This window comes from Homo sapiens, chromosome 2, assembly GCF_000001405.40.
Source record: "Homo sapiens chromosome 2, GRCh38.p14 Primary Assembly".
Classification (NCBI taxonomy): Eukaryota; Metazoa; Chordata; class Mammalia; order Primates; family Hominidae; genus Homo; species Homo sapiens.
The window spans coordinates 171,932,286-171,954,351 of NC_000002.12; the positions used below are offsets into that span (position 1 = coordinate 171,932,286).

The window sequence follows — 22,066 nt, forward strand, 5'->3', positions numbered from 1 at the left end:
CATAAAATGAGTTGGGAACTGTTTCTTCTCTATCTTCTGGAAGAATTTGTATAAGACTGCATTATTCCTTTAAATGTTCAGTAGCATTCACCAGTGAAGTTTTATGTGCCTTGAGTTTTCTTTGTTGGAAGGTTTTTAACTATACATCTAATAAATAGATTTAATACTGTTCTGATCTTCTGTTTCTTCTTGTGTCAGTTTTGGTGATTTTTGTCTTTTAAAGTATTTCTCTATTTTATCTAACTTTCTTGGCAGAAAGTTGCTTACAGTATTCCCCTGTTACCATTTAAATGACTGTAGAGCGAGGTGCAGTGGCTCAGACATGTAATCCCAGATCTTTGGGAGGCCAAGGCAGAAGGATCGCTTGAGCCCAAGAGTTCAAGGCCAGCCTGGGCAATATAATGAGATCTCAACAATAAAATAAAATTTAAAAATTAGCCAAGCATGGTGGCATGCACCCATAGTCCTAGCTACTTGGGAGGCTGAGGTGGGAGGATCACTTGAGCCGGAGAGGTGGAGGTTACAGTGAGCTGCGATCATCTCACTGCACTCCAGTCTGGGTGACAGAGCCAGACGCTGTCTCAAAAAATAAAATAAGTGACTCTAGAATCTATAATCCCTTCTTGGGGGTATTGGTAATTCTTTTTCTCTTTGTCTTTTAATGTCTCCTTACAAGTTTACCAATCTTACTGATCTTTTCAGCATTGCCTTTGTCTGTTATTTATCTGTTTTCTTAATCTTTATAAATTCTTTCATCTTACTTTGGGTTAATTTTTTTATTCCTTCTTTTGAGACAAGGTCTTGCTCTGTTGCCGAGGCTGGAGTGCAGTGGTGTGATCATGGCTCACTGTAGCCTCAACCTCTTGGCTCAAGTGACCCTCTCACCTCAGCCTCCTGAGTAGCTGGGACTACAGGTGTACACCACCACACTTAGCTAACTTTTGTATTTTTTTTGTAGAGATGGAGTCTCACTGTGTTGCTCAGGGTGGTCTCGAACTCCTGGGCTCAAGTGATCCTCCTGCCTTGGCCTCCCAAAGTGTTAGGATTGCAGGCATGAGCCACCTTACCTGGTCTAATTTGCTTTTTTTAAGATCTTTCTTTTTAAAGTAGATGTGTATATAATTAACTTTAAACTTTCCTTTTCTAATACTAGCATTAATGTTATAAATTTACCTCTAGTTGCAGTGAGCCAAGATCGCATCACTGCACTCCAGCCTGGGTGACGGAGCAAGACTCTGTCTCAAAAAAAAAAAGAAAAAAAAATTTACCTCTAAATATTGATATAGTTGCATCCTACCAATTCTGTTATGTTCTATTTTTATTGCTCAATTCAAAATATTTTTAAATTTCCCTTGCGACTTCTTTTTTGACCCATGAGTTATATAGAAGAGGGTTACTTAATTTCCAAATATTTGGGACTTTTCTAGCTGTCTTATTGTCACTGATTTCTGAATTAGTTCTGTCAAGGTCAGACAATATAGTCTTATTTCAGTCCTTTTAAATTCATTGAGCCTTGTTTTATAGCTTATCATGTAGGATCTGTTTGGTCAGTGTCCTAGGTGCACTGAAAAATAATTTATAGTCTGCAGTTTTATGTAGTGTTCTATAAGTGTAAATTGACTTAATAGTATTAAAGTCTTTTATATTTTTACTGACTTTCTAGCGATTAGGACAATTGAGAGAACTGTCAAAATCTCCAGCTGGAATTGTGGATTGTCTATGTCTTCAGTCATTAATTTTTGCTTGATGTATTTGCAGCTCTGATATTAGGTACATACAGATTTAGACTTCCTATGTCTTCTTGGTGAATTGACCTTACTCATTATAAAATGTTCCATCTTTATCTCTGTCCCCTCTTTAACCCATCTTGCCTCATATTTAAGTCTACTTTGTTAGCTATTAATATAGAAATGAGAATGTTTTAAACCTGTAAGAAATAACAGCATGTTTATATGCTGATGCCAATGATCTATCAGAGAAGGGGGAAATAATACAGGAGTATTTCTGGAAGTATCAGAGAAGGGGAGTATTTGTTGAGTAATATCCTTGACAATGTAAGAGGGGTAAGTATTTTATTAATCAGTGGAAGGATTAGCCTTAGATAGGAGCATGGAGAATTTCTACCATAACAAGATGAAGGAGGGTATACAGGAATTGCTGCAGTAAGTTAGAAGGTGTAGAGGAAGCATTTTGTGCAGTTTCTTTTCTGAATGCTTCTGTTTCCTAAGTGAGATAGTAAGCAAGGTCATCTGTGGAGAACGTGCTTATAGAAGAAGGCGTTGGAGATTTGAGGAAATAGTCATCTAGGTGAGTGGGAGGAGTGAGTAGACTTGAGAACTGTTACCATTGTCAGGTAGCACTAAGGGCCCACTTCAAGTTAGTTCTCATGAATGTAAAGTGAGGTCAGCCACGTCCAGATGAAAGTGTGCCACAAAGAATAGACATATAGTTAAATTTAACTAGAGTGGGTTTTTTTTTTTTTTTTTTGAGACAGAATTTTGGTCTTGTCATCCGGGCTGGAGTGCAATGGCGCGATCTCAGCTCACTGCAACCTCCGCCTCTGGAGTTCAAGTGCTTCTCCTGCCTCAGCCTCCCAAGTAGTTGGGATTACAGGCGCCCACCACCACGCCCAGTTAATTTTTGTATTTTTAGTAGAGGCGGGGTTTCGCCATGTTGGCCAGGCTGGTCTCAAACTCCTGACCTCAAGTGATCCATCTGCCTCGGCCTCCCAAAGTGCTGGGATTACAGGCGTGAGCCACCGCGCCTGGCCTAGAGTGGTTTTCTTTTTACGAGGCTGCTATGAAAAAAATTAAGGCCAAGGGGTTGAGGATGTTTAGGATGGAGTAATAACATTGATGGACCATGGAATTCTGCACTGGAAAGGGAGGAAAACGAGGATATGAAGTAGAAGAGGGACAGTGAAATTATGTTCAAATCAATTCATTGTGGCCAAGCACGGTGGCTCATGCCTGTAATCCCAGCACTTTGGGAGGCAGAGGCGGGTGGATCACCCGAGGTCAGGAGTTCGAGACCAGCCTGGCCAACATGGTGAAACCCCGTCTCTACTAAAAATACAAAAATTAGCTGGGCATGGTGGCACATGCCTATAATCTCAGCTACTTGGGAGACTGAGGCAAGAGAATCGTTTGAACCTTGGAGGCCAAGGTTGCTGTGAGCTGAGATTGTGCCATTGCACTCCAGCCTGGGCAACAAGAGCAAAACTCCATCTCAAAAAAAAAAAAAAAAAAAAAAAGACAAAATTCATTTTAAGTCTTGGTGGGGGCTGAAGAATTGTTAGAATTGGGGTATGGTTGGGTGTGGTGGTTCATGCTTGTAATCCCAGCACTTTGGGAGGCCCAGGCAGGATGATCACTTTAGCCCAGGAGTTTGAGACCAGCTTGGGCAACATAGGGAGACCCCATTTCTACAAAAAATAAAATATTAGCTGGGTGTGGAGGTGCGTGCTTGTGGTCCCAGCTACTCAGGAGGCTGAGGCAGGAGGATCACCTGAGCCTGGGAGGTTGAGGTTGCAGTGAGCTGTGATTGGTTGTGCCACAACACTCCAGCCTGGGTGACAGAGCCAGACCCTGTCTCAAAAAACAAAAAACAAAACAAAAAAGAATTGGGGGTATAGGGAGTGAGGTAGGAAGATAAGTGGTGATGGTAAGATGGTACAATGTTTGAAATAGAGATTAAGGAGGTATAATTGTCAATAATGATAAATAAAGGCTAGGGCACATCATGGGAATAAGTGGCTAAGGTACAGTAAAGACAAAATTCTTGGGGAGGAATCAAGGAACTGCAAGGCTGGATTGGAAGATTCATTTTCATTAATTTTGAAGTTACCAAGATTTAAGTCAGATGTAGTGTTGGAAAGTGCAACAGTGAGCCTGGAGCTAAATTATTCAAAGAATGAGGGAGAGAGGTGGAGCATGAACTTTAAAGTGGTTTATTCTTAGTGTGTGGGGAGAGAGACATTAGTCTGAAACCAGCAATGAGGAGCAAGGAGGATACCTTGTTCTAGCAGTATGAAGACAGAGAAAACAACCACTACCTGAGAGGTCTGTAAGACAGGAGCATCCTTAGGGGAGAGCCATGTGTGCCAAAGAACTGTTAGCGCAAGATAGGAGAGCATTTGATAAAGAGGTTGGGGATATGGAGAATTTTGGTGGTAACTGACCTCTAAGTTTCACAGTGGTCACAATGAGTTGGGAAGGGGTGGGAAATTAGATGAGTATTTTTATACTACTGTATAATACAGGGATGAGAATCCCAGTGATAAGGGAATTTTTAAGAATTGGACTGCTGTTAATGGGAATAAAGAGTGTGATGGGATTAATTATGGCATCTCTAGGGAATATTTAATGTTGAGATACCTCATTTTGCAGATTGTTTGTGCTGATGGGAATGTTGCCAGCACACTGGGGCCACTCTTGTGTTTTAAAATTATATAATTAAGCTTGTTTTTCAATTTAGCATGGGTAGGAAAAGATGTATCGGGCAATATGCTAAGATTTCAGTTATTTAAAGAACACAGGATTATGAATAAACTTAGATGTAGTCCAGAATACAATTAGATACTATACCCCGTGGGGGCCAGAATCCATTTATGTCTGCATTATGAGCACCTGTTGATAGATCATATATATTAAATGTGTTAAATACTTAAGTATTTATTTATTTATTTGAGATAGGGTCTGGCTCTGTTGCCCAGGCTGGAGTGCAGTGGTGTGATCTCGGCTCATTGCAACCTCTGCCTCCCAGGCTCAAGTGATCCTTCCACCTCAGCCTCCTGAGTAGCTGGGACTACAGATGTGTGCCACCACGCCCAGTGAATTTTTGTATTTTTTGTAGAGATGGGGTTTTGCCGTGTTGCCCAAGCTGGTCTTGAACTCTTATGTATTTATTAAACAAGCTTTAAAAATTGATTAAAATAATGTGCCTTGGTGATTTCTTAATTTTACTTTTGGTTAATAAGACATGTAGACTATATCTTCTTTCATGCATCTTGCCTCTCCAAAACTACTGAAGTGATTCTAAGAACTAGGAAGTATATGAACTTATTGCCATACATGGTGGTTTGTGCCTATAAAAAGGTGGTGCCACTGACAGGGACACAAAGATTGGAGGGGAGAGCTGGCTCTGGTGGTACTGTTGCTGGTGATAGTTGAAGCCAGGAAAAAAGATGAGCTCTGAAAGGAACACACTGTGAAAGAAGGGCAGACCAAGGACCAAGTCTTGGAAAATGCCTATATCTAAGGGAGTGGCAGCAAAAGAAACCAGGTTAAGTCAGAAAAACAAGGAGGTATAGTATATAAGTGAGAAAGGAAGAATAATATTTCGGGTAGAAAAAGAGTTTAATAACATCTACTGTTATGGAGTTCAAGGAGAGTGAAGAAAAGCAGAACAGCACTAATTGTACAATAAAGTCATCAGTAACTCTGAAATAGAAGTAGCATGATGGTTAATTATAGTAATGGAGCTGTAGGAAAAAGGGTGGCTGAGGGAGGAGGATCACTTGAAGCCAGGAGTTTGAGGCCAGCCTAAGCAACATAGCGAGACCTTGTCTCTTAAAAAAAATCAAACAATTAGCCAAGTGTGTGGTACACACTTATAGTCTCAGCTACTTGGGAGGCTTGAGCACAGGAGATCAAGGCTGCAGTTAGCTGGGATTGTACACTGCACTGCAGCCTGGGCAACAGAGCAAGACCCCATCTATCTATCTGTCTGTCTACTGATTCTCTCTCTCTCTCTCTCTCTCTCTCTCTCTCTCTCTCTCTCTCTCTCTCTTTAAATGAACTGTAAGAGTAGAAACAATAGGGCAGGGCAGGCATGGTGGCTCACACTTATAATCCCAGCACTTTGGGAGGCCAAGGTAGGAGGATTGCTTAAGGCTAGAGGAGTTCAAAACCAGTCTGGGCAACATAGCAAGACTCTGTCTCTACAAAAGAAAGAAAGAAGCAACAGTAAATATATTCAAAAGGAAGAATCATTGCAGGCCCTATGTTCTATATAGCAGCAGTCCCCAACTTTTTTGGCACCAGGGACCAGTTTAGTGGAAGACAATTTTTCTTCAGACCAGGGAGGGAGGTTTGCGGGGAATGGTTTTGGGATGATTCAAGCGCATTACATTCATTGTACACTTTTTCTATTTACATTGTAATTATAATGAAATTATTATACACCTCACTGTGGAATCAGTGGAAACCCTGAGCTTGTTTTCCTGCAACTAGACAGTTCCATCTGGGGGTGATGGATACAGTGACACCTGAAGTGTATTGCTTATGTCCAGTCTACTCTGTAATCTCGTTTTGGTTGCTGTCATTGCAGAAAACCCTGCCTCACAAGGATAAGATGTTGAGAATGGAAGCAGGCTTTTCAGTACTTTTCTGGCAATCTCAGGATGTTCTGCCTTGATTTTAATCCAGAACATAAGGAGATTTGAAGTTGTCTGAAACATATTTTTTTTTTTTGAGACAGGGTCTTGCTCTATTGTCCACACTACAGTGCAGTGGTGCAGTCTCAGCTCACTGCAACCTCCACTTCCTGGATTCAAGTGATTCTCGTGCCTCAGCCTCCCAAGTAGCTGGGACTATGGGTGTATACCACCAAACCCCACTAATTTTTGTAATTTTAGTAGAGACGGGGTTTCGCCATGTTGCTCAGGCTGGTCTTGAACCCCTGGACTCAAGCAATTCGCCTGCCTTGGCCTCCCAAAGTGCTGGGATTATAGATGTGAGCCACCAGGCCCGGCTTCAAACACACTTTTAAGGCCACCTTCATTTGCTGTCTTAAGCAGTTGACCCTATTCCAGCACGGATAAAGTCGATTCACCTGACTTATTCAAAAATGGGTCACGGATCCATTCCTTCCCAGTTCAGGGTTCTTTTGTGGTTGGGAATTAATGCTCAAACTCTTTTGAAAGCTGAGATAGGTGATCGTGCACCAGCTGGAAGTAAGAGGACCCTGTGAGCCAGGGCCTTTCAAAATCTCTGCTAATGTTTGAAACATGTCAACAAACCCAGTGTTCGCTCGTCACCCTAATACTTCTGCTTTGGCTTTGAATGCAGCCACTTTATCTGCCAACTTGAACACAATTGTTGTTCTCCCTTGAAGTGATAGATCAAGTTTGTTAAACAGGTTGAATATGTCACAAAAATAAGCAAGTTTTGTGACCCATTCTGTGTCACTGAAATGTGCTGCCCGTGGTGACTGTTTTTCTAAAAGAAATCTCTGGAGCGGCTGTTGTAACTCAAAAACTTTAGCCAGTGATCTACTTTTAGAAAGCTATCTCACTTCTGTGTATAAGAGAAGATATGTGTGATCTGTGTCCATTTCCTCACAGAGCAATGTGAACAGGTGTGAGGTAAGGGCATATACTTTAATGTGGTTGATAATTTTAATTACGTCCTGCAAAATGTCAAGTTCAGGTGACATTTTTTAGCTAGCCAGCATTACTCAATGGATGAAATAGTGCGTAGACTCACATTTGGAAACAACTCCTTTTTTTCTTTTTTTTTTTTTTAAGACAGGGTCTCACTTTATTGCACAAGCTGACTGCTGTGGCGCAGTCATGGCTCATTGTAGCCTCAACTTCCTGAGCTCAAGCAGTTCTGCCTGGGACTACAGGCACATGCCACCACACCCAGCTAATTTTTTATTATGTGTAGAGAAAGGGTATCACTGTATTGCTCAGGCTAGTCTCAAACTCCTGGACTCAGCGATCCTCCCACCTCAGCCTCCAAAAGTGCTGGGATCACAGGCATGAACCACTGCGTCTGGCCAAGGTGACCTCTTTGACCTGAATAATGAAACCAGAAAGCTGTCCAGTCATGGCAGCCACTTCGTCCATGCATATACCAACACAAAATGACCAATTCAGTTTCCCTGATATGTAATCATTCAAAGACTTGAATAGTTCTGCAGTGTGGTATTGGTTGGCAAGAAAAGTACACATAACGTATTCTCATGCACATCCTCCTGAAAAATATATTGCACAAAAACAAGCGTTGTTGCCTTGTTGTCAACATTGGTAGACTCGTCAACCTGGATTGTGCACCATGGTGACTCAACCCTCTCTAACAATTGTGCCTCAATATCCCCTGCTATTTCATTAGTTCTTCTAGTTATGGTATGAGCCTAAGGAGGAACACGCGCCACCTTTTGAATTCGAGCCTCTCCTAAAAGTTCACGACAAATGTCCTTAGCAGCAGGCAGGATTAACTCTTCACCAGTAGTAAAGGGCTTCTTAGTTTTAGCAATTTGGTTAGCCATTAAGAATGGAGCTCTCAGTGCAGACGCATTTGATGAAGTGGTGGCCTTCAATAAATTGCTTCTGTTCTTCATGTTCATGTTTTTTTCTTTTGAAAACTCCAAAGGCTTGTCTTTTAATGCAGGGTGCTTGGTCTCGATGTAACTAAGCAGTTTTGAAGGTTTTGTGGCTTTGTTGGATAGCTGGTCACCATGTACTATACACAGAGGGCTTGGAGAATGTGAATCACCTGTTGCAGTGAACCCATAATTTAAGTAGGACTCTTGGTATTTTAAATGCAGCTTTCTTTTTGTTGGCAGTCTTAGAGTCTTCTGCTGTCTCATCATTGGGTCTTTCCCCTTTTTCAAAGAAGCTCTTCAGTGATATTTGTTTTTCACTCATTTTGACTAGGGTTAGCAAAAAGACTTACCAAAACTGTGACTGAGACAAGTGTACAGTGTGAGAAAGAGGCACAGATGGAAGTCGCAAATAAAATAATGGGTTGGCAACATGGGGACTAAAATAAATGTTGGATTCTGACTTAAAGCCTGCCACTAGATGTAGCTGTACAATGGAACTACATGAACTCACTTGCCATTATAAAGCCTGCCACCAGATGCAGCTTAGTTGTCACTTGCCACTCACTACTCACTGATAGGGTTGGTGTTTTTTTTGTTGTTGTTTTGTTTTTTTTGAGACAGAGTCTCGCTCTGTTGTCCAGGCTGGAGTGCAGTGGCGGGATCTCGGCTCACTGCAACCTCCACCTCCTGGGTTCAAGTGATTCTCCTGCCTCAGCCTCTGGAGTAGCTGTGATTTTAGGTGTGTGCCACCACAGCTGGCTAAGTTTTGTATTTTTAGTAGTGACGGGGTTTCTCCTTGTTGGCCAGGCTGGGCTGATAGGGTTTTGATATGAGTCTGCAAGCAATTGATTTATTATGGTCTCTTTGCAGTCAAACCTCTCTGCTAACGTTAATCTGTATTTGCATCCGCTCCCCAGTGCTAGTATCACTGCCTCAGCTCCACCTCAGATCATCAGGCATTAGATTCTCATAAGGAGCCGTCAACCTAGATCCCTTGCATGAGCAGTTCTCAGTAGGGTTTTTGCTCCTATGAGAGTCTAATGCCACCACTGATCTGACAGAAGGCGGCGCTCAGGCAGTAGTGCAAGCAGTGGGGGACAACTGTAAATACAGATGAAGCTTTTCCAGCTTACCCATTACTCATCTCCTGCTGTGCAGCCTGGTTCCTAACAGGCCACAAACCGATACATGGTGTTTGGGGGCCCCTCCTATAGAGCAATAAGGTGCCATTTAGTATTCCAGGCCCTGAGCTTCCATTTTTCTACAAAAGTGTGAGTGACATAGATTTTTTTTGTTTTTGTTTTTTGAGATGGAGTCTTGTTCTGTCACCCAGGCTGGAGTGCAGTGGCTCGATCTCGGCTTACTGCAACCTCTGCCTCCTGGGTTCAAGCAATTCTCCTAGTTCAGCCTTCTGAGTAGCTGGGATTACAGGTGCACACCACCACACCCAGCTAAGTTTTGTAATTTTAATAGAGACGGGGCTTCACCATGTTGGCCAGGCTGGTCTTGAACTCCTGACCTCAGGTGATCCACCTGCCTTGGCCTCCCAAAGTGCTGGGATTACAGGCATGAGCCACTGTGCCCAGCTGCAACATAGGTTTTTAGTGCTTATTTTGAATTGTTTCAGTTTTTTATACTGTATATTTTTTCTGAGTATTGTGGTAATACATATTTTGCAGAAAATTTGGAAAGTAGATAAAAGTATATGAAATAAAAATTATCCATAATTCATCACTCAAAATACCTACCTCTGTATTATAATTTGGAGTGTTTTCTTCTAGTATTTTTTTATTATGTATTCATTTCTATTGTTTCCCTTTTATAAAATCGAGGTTACCGTATCATGTTCTGTTCACTTAACTCTGCATTGTGAACATTTTCCTATGTTTGTCATGATAACATGTTTAATAATTATGTAAGCCATTTCATGTATTTACTGTAATTTATTTAATCATTCACCTGTGACATTTGGGTTGCTTGTTTGCTGTACTGCCATACCTGCCTTATAAAGACTTGAAAATATTTAATGTTTCTGATATCCTGGAGAAAGTTCACATTTTGTACATGTTCTCAAGTAACATATATATATGTGACATATATATGTCACACTGGTTGAACCTTAGATCCGCCAAATACCAACTTTTAGTTCCTATTTTCTGTGGACCAAATTTTATGGGAAAATATTAAAACCTCACTAATTTGGATGACAGGGGCATCAGAAGAAGGCCAATCTGAATTTTAGAAATTATTATCATAACTAGGCTTAAGACAACTTTTCTTACTCATTACTTGTTCTTTTCTCTATGTCTTTTTACCCATCACTACCAAAATGTCATATAATATACATATTAGTTTGAAAATTAATTTTTCACAATTTCTAGATTTTCCAAACATTTTCAAACATTAGAGATGTAGTAGTTGTGAATTTTTAGGTTAGTGAGTCTGGACATATTTGAGTTTTTTTTTTTTTTTAACTATTACAGGCATACAAAAAATACAGTGCTGGCTGGGCACGGTGGCTTTGCCTGTAATCCCAACACTTTGGGAGGCTGAGGCGGGCAGATCACCTGAGGTCAGGAGTTTGAAACCAGCCTGGCCAACATGGTGAAACCCCGTCTCTACTAAAAATACAAAAATTAGCTGGGCGCTAATTTTTGGGTGGCGGGTGCCTGTAATCCCAGCTACTTGGGAGGCTGAGGCAGGAGAATCACTTGAACCCGGGAGGCAGAGGTTGCAGTGAGCCGAGATCATGCAATTGCACTCCAGCCTGGGCGACAGAGAGAGACTCTGTCTCAAAAAAAAAAAAAAAAAAAAAAAAAGGAAACTAAGCAATATCTCTGATCCCATCACTCTGCTTTTTCAAGTCTTAACATTTGGCTGCATTTGCCTAAGCCTCTTTTTTTTCTTTAAATTTTTGTTATGAAACATTTTAAACACAGAACAATTGAGAGAATAAAACAATACTCATGTATATTTAACACCTAGATTCAACAGTTAACATTTTGCCATATTTGCTTTAGTATGTGTGTATTTTTGCTGAATTATTTGACAGTAGGTATCTAAACATCATGACACTTCCCTATAGTATATCTCCTAATATATGGACATTCATATATATATATATATATATATATGTATCCATAATAGTGTTATCACACTTAAGAAAATTAATGGTAATTTTTTCAATACTGCGTAATTTCTGGTTTCCCTAGTTGCCATCAAAACACTTTAATAGCTTTAAAAAAAATTAGTCCAGGCATGGTGGCTCATGCCTGTAATTCCAGCACTTTGGGAGGCTGAAGTGGAGGATGGCTTGAGCCCAGAAATTGGATACGAGCCTGGGCAACAAAGACCCCCATCTGTACAAAAAATTTAAAAAATTAGTTGTTCATGGTGATTTGCGCTTGTAGTCTCAGCTACTTTAAAGGCTGAGGCGGGAAGATCTTTTGAGCCCAGGATTTCAAGGTTGCTGTGAGCTGTGATTGTGCCACTGTATTCCAGCCTGGGTGACAATGAAACCCTGTCTCAAAAAAAAAAAAAAATACTTAAACAAGGATCCAGTAAGGGATTGTGCACTGCATTTAGTTGTAATGTTTCTTAAATAATCTCTTTTAATACAGAGCAGTCCCTTTCCGTCCACATGCAACTTTTCCCCTACATGACATTGATTTATTTGGGAGAGTAAAGTCATTGCACAGATAAATGTACATTCTGGATTTGTGTATTTCCTTTTGATATTAGTTTAACTTCCTCCTCTATCCTCTGTATTTCCTGTGAATTGGAAGGTAAAAAGCTTGATTAGATTTAAGATAAAAATTTTTGGTGAGAAAACTTCATGGGTGATGCAGCATACAGTTGGTCCTTGAACAACACGACTTGAACTGTGTGGGTCCACTTACACATGGACTTTTTTTCCTACCAAATGCAGATAGAAAGTACAGTGGGACACCAGACAGAACTACAGGACTTGAGTATGATGGATTTTGGTACAGTCAGGGGTCCTAGAGCCAGTCTCTTGAGTATACTGAGGGATGACTGTACTTCATATTGCATTGAATCAGGAGGCACATAATGTTGTTCTGTCCCACAATGAATGATGCTAAGTTAGATCATTTGGAAAGGAGGTGACTACCAGATCTCTACAGTGAAAATATACCTTTTCTTCTGTAAATTAGTAATATGCTGGTGATACTTTGGCATGCAGGGAGTGACCTGGTCTGTGAGGACAGTGTTAGAAATTTTTCATCTACAGTTTATCTTCTTTTTTCCCCCTGAGACGGAGTCTCGCTCGATCACCCAGGCTGGAGCGCAGTGGCACAATCTCAGCTCAATGCAACCTCCTCCTCCCAGGTTCAAGCGATTCTCATGCCTCAGCCTCCAGAGTAGTTGGGATTATAGGGACCTACCACCATGCCTGGCTAATTTTTGTATTTTAGTAGAGATGGCATTTCACCATATTGGTTAGGCTGGTCTTGAACTCCTGACTTCAAGTGATCTGCCTGCCTCAGCCTCCCAAAGTGCTGGGATTACAGGTGTGAGCCACCGCGCCCAGCCCTCCAATTTTTCTTTACATTCTTCAATTGCTTAAGAATTTTTTAATGAATAAAATTTTCTTCCTAAGATAAATTTTATCAGGGAACTATCTAGTATTTCAGTACTCACAACAAATACAAATAAAAATAATAAAAGGATACCCATTCCATCTTAGATTGATAGAAATTGAAGTCGAGGGTACAGAGTATCCTTGAGTACAGCAGAGTGTTCTCAAGGATGTAGGGAGCAAAGGAGTCTACAAGCTATGGGTATATAAACTGCTTGTGGGTGTATAAACTGTTACAATATTTTTATAGGGCACTTTAGCTAGCTAGCTAGCTATCTATAATTTTTTTTTTTTTTTTTTTGAGACAGTCTTTGTCGCCCAGGCTGGAGTGCAGTGGCATGATCTTGGCTCACTGCAACCTCTACCTCCTGGATTTAAGCGATTCTCCTGCCTCAGCCCTCTAAGTAGCTGGGACTACAGGCATGCGCCACCATGGCTAGCCAATTATTTATTTATTTATTTATTTTTTTGAGAGAGAGTCTCGCTCTCTTGGCCAGGCTGCAGTGCAGTGGCACGATCTCGGCTCACTGCAACCTCCGCCTCCTGGGCTCAAGTAGTTCTCCTGCCTCAGCCTCCCAAGTAGCTGGGATTACAGGTTGTGTGCCACCATGCCCGGCTAATTTTTGTATTTTTAGTAGAGATGGGGTTTCACCATGTTGGCCAGGCTGGTCTTGAACTCCTGACCTCAGGTAATCTGCCCACCTCAGCCTCCCAGAGTGTTGGGATTACAGGCATGAGCCACTGTGCCCAGCCTAATTTTTGAATTTTTAGTAGAGATGGTTTCACCATGTCAGCCAGGCTGGGCGTGAACTCCTGACCTCAGATGATCCACCTGCCTTGGCCTCCCAAAGTGCTGGGATTACAGGCATGAGCCACTGCACCTGGCCACTTTAGCAATATTTATACAAATATTTCAGTACTCTCCCCCTAGTTTTCTGCTGCCAGGAATTTCCCCTGTGTATACTTATAAAAGTACAGCAGGATGTATATAAGGATGTCATTGCAGTGTTATTTTTAATAGCAAAAAACAAACATGAGAACAACATAAATGTCATCTAGCAGTCAAAAAGAATGACTTCATCAAACTCAGGTTATTGTTATTATCAGAATGTTTCTTACAGCATTCTGTTTTCATTTGCTGTAACTTCTTACCTCAAAGTGTCTTTTTGTTTTTCCTTTACTCATTGCATTGTGCATAAACATGGAAAAATAAAAACTAAATGAGGTGCCTCTGTCATACTTAGCCTTCTGATTCTTAGAATAAGTAGGGTTTTGACGCTGAAGCACTCAAAGTAATATTTTAATTTTCTTTGTTCACTAGTCTCTTGAGAATACAGTGTAAATAAATCATATAATGGTGAAATGACACTTTTAGTAAGAAAAATGTTGGCTGTATCCTAGTTATACTGAAACTCATGAAATAGGAATACCTGTCACCTTCAATATCTTTAGTTATCTTTAATATCTCTATTTTTTTGTCCCTTGAAACAGTTCGTTTTCCTGAAGATCTTGAAAATGACATTAGAACTTTCTTTCCTGAGTATACCCATCAACTCTTTGGGGATGAGTAAGTAACTTAGTAAAATATTTGTCAAATTAGTATGGAAAAAAAAATTTTCATTCTTTTTCTTTTAGATTTAGAAATCAAATTTTATTTTCTTCTTATTTTTAATGTGGTTTATCTTAAAATATATGTTATAATGGTGTTTTTTTACATTGAGACACCAGTTATTTTAATACCTACCATTTAGTGCTGTAAATGCATTATTTAATTCTCACAGCAGTATTAATGATGGTATTATTATTTGCTGCTTTGTGCATTGATAGAATTGGATAATTGTTCATGAACATACAAATGGCTGGAGTATAGATTTTAGGCAATCTGACTCCAGAGCCCATAATCATAACTACTACTTTTTTCTGCTACCATTTTGCTAAATTACTTCTAGTAGCATGTATTCCCCTAAAGCTGTAATAGAAAGCTTAAGTTGTTATTCTATGATCAAATAAGCAGTTGAGAGAAGTTTATTTATTTATTATTTATTTATTTATTTTTGAGATAGGGTCTCGCTGTGTCACCCAGGCTGGAGTGCAGTAGTGTGATCAAAGCTCACTGCAGCCTGAACCTCCTGGGCATAAGCAGTCCTCCCACCTGAGCCTCCGAGTAGCTGGGACTACAGGCACACACCATCATGCCTGGCTTTTTTTAAAAAATTTTTTGTAGAGATTGGGTCTCCCTATGTTGCCCAGGCTGGCCTTGAACTCCTGGCCTCAAGTGATCCTCCCACCTGCGCCTCCCAAAGAGCTGGGACTACAGGCATGAACCACTGTACCTGCCCTGAAGTTTATTTTTTAGAAGGAACTTTAAATATATGTCCCAGGCCAGGCGCAGTGGCTCATGCCTGTAATCCCAACACTTTGGGAGGCTGAGGCGGGCAGATTGCCTGAGGTCAGGAGTTCCAGACCGGCCTGGCTAATATGGTGAAACCCCGTCTCTATTAAAAATACTAAAATTAGCCAGGTGTAGTGGCACACGCCTGTAGTCCTGGCTACTCGGGAGGCTGAGGCAGGAGAATCACTTCAACCTGGGAGGCAGAGGTTGCAGTGAGCCGAGATCATGCCACTGCACTCCAGCCTGTGCGACAGAGCGAGACTGTCTCAAAAAAACAAAAACAAAATAAAGATATGTCCCAGTATATTTAGCACTGTTCTTTAATTTCCTATACTTTGATTACATCATTGAAATAGTTACTTTTTTAAAAAAAACTTTTGATTTTGAAAACATTGCACATTTGCAGAAAGTTGCAAGAATAGTACAGTGATCTCTGTATATTTTTTTACCTGGATTCACCAGTTGCCATTTAGCTACATTTGCTTTAATCATTCTCTCCTTGTTGTTGAACCATTTGAGAGTAGGTTGCAGATCTATCCTGATCCTTTACACCTCATTTCTTTTCACTATGTATTTCCTAAAAATAAGATTAATAACCATGGAAGAGTTGTAAAAATTCAGGAAATTTAACATTGATACAGAGTCTCGCGTTGTTGCCCAGGCTGGAATGCAGTGGTGCTATCTCAACTCACTGCAACCTCCACTTCCTGGGTTCAGATGATTCTTCTGCCTCAGCCTCCCAACTAGCTGAGATTACAGGCGCCCGCCACCACACCCAGCTAATTTTTGTATTTTTAGTAGAGACGGGGTTTCACCATCTTGGTCAGGTTGGTCTCAATCTCCTGACCTCAAGTGATCACCCACCTTGGCCTCCTGAAGTGCTGGGATTGCAGGCGTGAGCTACCATGCCCGGCCTGATACAGTACTATCTTCTGATATACAGCTCATGTTTCAGATTTTGTCAGTTGATTTCTAGTAATTCCTTTATAGCAATTTTCTCCAATCCTGGATCCAATACAGAATCATATTGTATTTCGTTGCCATATCTCTTCATTCTTCTTTAATCTGAAACAGATCCTCAGCATTTGTTTTTTCCTAACAGACATTTTTGTAGGGTATAGGCTAATTTTGTAGAACTGTTATATTGGATTAATTTGATTGGTTTATTTGTGATTAAACTCAGATAATGCATATTTTTGCTGTGCCATTACAGAAATGGTATTGTGTCCTCAGTGTATCACATCAGGAAGTCCGTGATGTCAGTTTGTCCCTTGTTGGTTAAGTTAACTTGGGTCACTTGGTTTAGAGGTGGCTGCTAGGTTTTTCCACTATAAAGTTAGTGTTTTTTCCTTTGTAATTTATAAGTAGTTTGTAGGGAGATACTGTGAGACCGAAAATATCCTGTTTTCCTCAAGCTTTCACCCAGAAGCATCCATTAATGATTCTTGCTTGAATCAGTATTTTACTATGATGATTGTAAAATGGTAATTTTGTAACTCTTTTGTACCTTTTTCATTTATTAGTTGGGCATGCTACTATAAGAAAGAGCTCTTCTTCTTCTTCTTATTTATTTCTTTATTTATATCAAACTCAGGGATGCTTTTTTTTGTTTTTGTTTTTTGAGACAGGGTCTTGCTCTGTCACCCAGGCTGAAGTGCAGTGGTGCGATCACAGCTCACTGCAGCCTTGAATTCCCAGGCTCAAGCAGATCTTCCCACCTCAGCCTCCTGAGGAGCTGGGACTATAGGCGTGTACCACCATACCCAGCTAATTTTTAAAAATTTTTTGGCCGGGTGCAGTGGTTTAGACCTGTAATCCCAAAACTTTGGGAGGCCGAGGCGGGAGGTTTGCCTGAGCCAGGAGTTTGCGACCAGCCTGGGCAACATGGTGAAACCACGTCTCTACTAAAATACAAAATTAGCCAGGCTTGCTGGCGTATCCTGTAGTCCCAGCTACTTGGGAAGCTGAGGCAGGAGAATTGCCTGAACCTGGGAGGCAGAGGTTGCAGTGAGCTGAGATTGCGCCACTGCACTCCAGCCTGGGCAACAGAGTGAGACTCTGTCTCAAAAAAAAAAAAAAAATTTTTTTTTAAGAGATGGGGGTCTTCCTATGTTGACCAGGCTGGTCTTGAACTCCTGGGCTCAAGTGATCCTCCAAGTGCTGGGATTACAGGCGTGAACCACCGCACCTGGCTAAGGAGTCTTTTACAATTCAGTGGGCTATGTACAATCTGTTACTGCTACTAATTTTGATGCTCAAATTATCCCAGATTTGGCAAGTGGCCACCCTTTCAGACACTTTTGAGTCTTTCTGATATGTCCTTATAATTTTGGTGATACTTTACTTTCTCACACAACAAGATGTTTCCAGATTCATCTGGTACTTTCCCTGTTAGTTCTGGAGTCAGTCAGTCTCCCATGGAACCCCTGGTTTGTTGTAGTAGGAAAGGGTATTTAGACATAGTGGACATTTAAATATTTCCCTTCATGTCTTTTTTCCCCCCATGCATTATTTTAACATCATTGACATATTTCTTTAATGTGTGGGGGTTTTGGGTTTTTTTGTTTGTTTGTTTTTTGAGACGGAGTCTTGCTCTGTTGCCCAGGCTGGAATGCAGTGGCATGATCTTCTTGGCTCATTGCATCCTCTGCCGCCTCCCAGTTCAAGCGATTCTCATGCCTCAGCCTCCCGAGTAGCTGGGACTACAGGTGTGTGCCACCACACCCAGCTAATTTTTTTTTTTTGTAATTTTAGTAGAGGCGGGGTTTTGGCATATTGGCCAGGCTGGTCCCGAACTCTGGAGCTTAGACAGTCTGCCTGCCTCAGCCTCCCAAAGTCCTAGAATTACAGGCGTGAGCCACTGTACCCAGCCATATTTAATGTGTGGCTTTTTTTGTTGTTTGCTTGTTTTTTGAGATGGAGTCTCACTCTGTTGCCCAGGCTGGAATGCAGTGGTGCAATCTTGGCTCACTGCAACCTCCGCCTCTCAGGTTCAAGCGATTCTCCTGCCTCAGCTTCTCGAGTAGGTGGGACTATAGACACGTGCTATCCCACCCAGCTAATTTTTGTATTTTTAGTAGAGACGGGGTTTCACCCTGTTGGCCAGGCTGGTCTTGAACTCCTGACCTCAGGTGATCCACCTGCCTCAGCCTCCCAAAGTGCTGGCATTACAGGCGTTAGCCACTGTGCCCAGCCTTAATGTGTGTTTTGTTTTGAGACGTAGTTTCGCTCTTGTTGCCCAGGCTGGAGTGCAATGAATGGTGCGATCTCGGCTCACTGCAAGCTGCGCCTCCTGGGTTCAAGTGATGCTCCTGCCTCAGCCTCCCGAGTCGCTGGGGTTACAGGCGCCTGCCACCATGCCCAGCTAATTTTTGTTATTTTTGGTAGAGATGGGGTTTTGCCGTGTTGGCCAGGCTGGTGTCGAACTCCTAACCTCAGATGATCCACCCACCTCGGCCTCCCGAAGTGCTGGGATTACAGGCGTGAGCCACTGCACCAGGCCCTTATTGTGTTTTTAAGTCAACAAATGTCTCTTCCTGCAACGAATTTCCTGTGAATTTTTCATTATTGATGTATCAGATTAGGCATTTTATGTGCTTTCACATATTAATAATTGTATCTTATTATACATAGATTAATGCCAAAATTTCAGCCTTTCATATTTTAAATAGGTTTTACTTTATTATAAAAATAAGAATATTTTCTCTTTGGAGTTCTATCTCTAAAGAGACATTGTTTTATTCTCTACTTTTTACTACTTTAAAAAATCTGTGTAATATCTTAGTAGATAAGATCTAGTTTTACAGATAGTGCTTCTTTTTAATTTTTTGAGACGGAGTCTTGCTCTGTTGCCCAGGCTGAAGTGCAGTGGCGCAATCTCAGCTCACTGCAGTCTCCACCTCCTGGGTTCAATCTATTCTCCTGCCTCAGCCTCTTGAGTAGCTGGGATTACAGGCACCCACCACCACACCTGCCTATTTTTTTTTTTTTTTTTTTGTAGTTTTAGTAGAAACGTGGTTTCACCATGTTGGCAGGCAGGTCTTGAACTCCTGACTTCCAGTGATCCCCCCCCGCCTCAGCATCCCAAAGTGCTGGGATTACTGGTGTGAGCCACCGTGCCCAGACCAGTTAGTGCTTCTTAATGGCATTTTGCACACTGTTTTGCGTAATATCACTGAAAGTGGGGTGCTTGTATACCACTCTTCTAAGATGGGTAGGGGACAGTAACATAATAGTGATATCCCTGAACTGTATGACCCAAGCATGATAATTGGTCTTGATCCTAGTATCATTGCCACTCCTTTCTTCTTCACATAACTTTCAGAGTTGCTGGAATGGACAGTGCTCCGTATTTTCGTAGCCTAGACAGAAATTTGGAAATGACACTGCTTCTTTCAAACACTTTTCTTTCACAATTCACTTTCTAAAAAAATCAGAATACAGCTTTATTGAGATATATACTGTGCAATTCATTTATTTAAAGTGTACAATTCAGTGGTTTTTAATGTATTCAGAGTTGTGCAAACACAGTCAATTTTGGAACATTGTCATTACTTCCATCAAAAACCCTAAAATGCATTAATAGTCACTTTACCCTGACCCCTAGTCTTAGGCAGTCACTAATTTACTTTCTGTCTCTATAGATTTACCTATTTTGGATAATTTAGAGTTCACTTTTTAGAAGACTCTTTTAAGCTGGAAAAAGGAATATTAAGGCATAAATGTGATAGCAGGGAGCAGGGGTGGAAGAATTAGCAGCAGTTCCATATCTGCCTTTTGAGTTCATAGAGCAGTTTACATGTAGTAAGGCAGGTGCTATTGCTGCAGCTCTGGATTTTGGTGATTCAGTAAGCAGTAAGTTGGAGGGACTGGTCCAAGGCTTGGTAGCTGCTTGCCTAGCCAGGTCCTAATTTAACACTACTTCTCTCATTTGAAATGCCTTCTAATACTGGTAATGGTAGCAGCAGCAGCAACAGTAGCAATAGTATTAAATGTCTGACATTTAGTGAGTACTTATACAATGTGCCAGTTTTATAAGTAGTTTACATGTATTAACTTATTTAACCCAAACAACATTCCTGACTTAGGCAACATTCCTGAGTTATTCTATTTTATAGATGAAAACTGAAGCACATTTTATTGTAGATTTTTTTTTTAAGTATAGTTTAAAATCTTGAAACTACCCATGAAGTTAAACTTGTTTATATGTAGGGTTAATACTTTTTAATGACTGCAAAAATTCATTCCATTATTGCTATTTTTTCCATTTCAGTGAAACTGCTTTTGGTTACAAGGGTCTAAAGATCCTGTTATACTATATTGCTGGTAGCCTGTCAACAATGTTCCGTGTTGAATATGCATCTAAAGTTGATGAGAACTTTGACTGTGTAGAGGTAAGAACAGAAATACTTTTTAAACTGTTTTCCAATTTAATTTATTTTAAAATAGGTTTTAGGCCAGGTGCGGTGGCTCACACCTGTAACCCCAGCAGTTTGGGGGACCAAGGGGGGCAGATCTTTTGATCTTAGGAGTTCGAGACCAGCCTGGCCAACATAGTGAGAGCCCATTTCTCAAAAAAACCACAAAAATTAGTGGGGCGTGGTGGCATGTGTCTGTAATTCCAGCTACTCAGGAGGCTGAGGTCAGAGGATGGCTTGAGCCCAGGAGGCAGAGGCTACAGTCAGCTGAGATCATGCCACTGTACTACAGCCTGGATGACAGAGCTAGACCCTGTCTCAAAAACAAAACAAACAAACAATAAACAAATAGTTTCTAAAAATTAAAGGTTTGGGCTGGGTGCAGTGGCTTGTGCCTATAATGCCAGTGCTTTTGGAGGCTGAAGTGGGAGGATCTCAAGCCCAGGAGTTGGAAACCAGCCTGGACAACATAGTGAGACCCTCAGCTACTTGGGAGGCTGAGGTGGGAGGATTACTTGAGCCCAGGAGCTTGAGGCTGCCAGTGAGCCATGATGGCACCACTGCACTCCAGCCCGGGCAACAGAACAAGACCCTGTCTCTTAAAAAAAAAAAAAAAAAAAAAAAAAAAAATTAAGGTTTGAGGGAAGAGAGAATCTGTTACATGGTAGTTTTAAAATCACATTCTCAGGCTGGGTGTGGTGGCTAACGCCTATAATCCCAGCACTTTGGGAGGCCAAGGTGGGCGGATCACCTGAGGCCAGGAGTTCAAGACCAGTCTGGCCAACATGGTGAAACCCCGTCTCTACTAAAAATACAAAAATTAGCTGGGCGTGGTGGTACACACCTGTAATCCCAGCTACTTGGGAGGCTGAGGCAGGAGAATTGCTTGAACCTGGGAGGCAGAGGTTGCAGTGAGTTGAGATCGTGCCACTGCACTGCAGCCTGGGTGACAGAGTGAAACTGTCTCAAAAAAAAATTAATTAATTAAATAAAATCATATACTCAGTCTTTAGTTATGGAGGCATTTGCCTCCCTGTCATTACAGTTAATCCTGTGATCATGATCCTGTTCTGTTTCCTGCATGGACCTTCTTCATAAAAATCTTTGCCTTTGTGATCAGAGTTTTATTTTTTTGCCAACTTTTGTTTTTTATTGTGGTTATTTCCTATAAGTCAAAGAAGATGGAGGGAAATAGCTAAATTTTCCACTTTTACCTAGTGTGGAATCTATTGAAGTTTCTCTTGCTGCATTTCTAATCCCACAAATTTTGCTAATATATTCCTTTATGGATGGAATACATGGATGATCAAGCTGATCACATTATAA

The 22,066-nt window shown here is 41.1% G+C and overlaps 1 protein-coding gene across 3 annotated transcripts in view, besides 1 other annotated feature; it reads left to right on the forward strand.

Moving 5' to 3' along the window:
• The window catches only part of HAT1 (histone acetyltransferase 1), a 61,226-nt gene that overhangs the window by 9,825 nt on the left and 29,335 nt on the right, over window positions 1-22,066 (forward strand). For 2 of the 3 annotated variants that reach the window (XM_006712808.4, NM_003642.4), the window contains 2 exons: window positions 14,423-14,498; window positions 20,596-20,716. In XM_006712808.4, coding sequence (XP_006712871.1) covers window positions 14,423-14,498; window positions 20,596-20,716 — 197 coding nt within the window. The remainder of the gene's footprint in view (window positions 1-14,422; window positions 14,499-20,595; window positions 20,717-22,066) is intronic. The other variant, NR_027862.2, reaches the window with a different exon arrangement.
• Window positions 2,530-2,767: a silencer, noted in NCBI's record as "fragment chr2:172791325-172791562 (GRCh37/hg19 assembly coordinates)". NCBI's record gives its function as "represses an EF-1alpha promoter that drives an FKBP-Casp9 reporter gene in an ReSE screen in K562 erythroleukemia cells {active_cell/tissue: K562}" and the evidence as "EXISTENCE:reporter gene assay evidence [ECO:0000049][PMID:32094911]".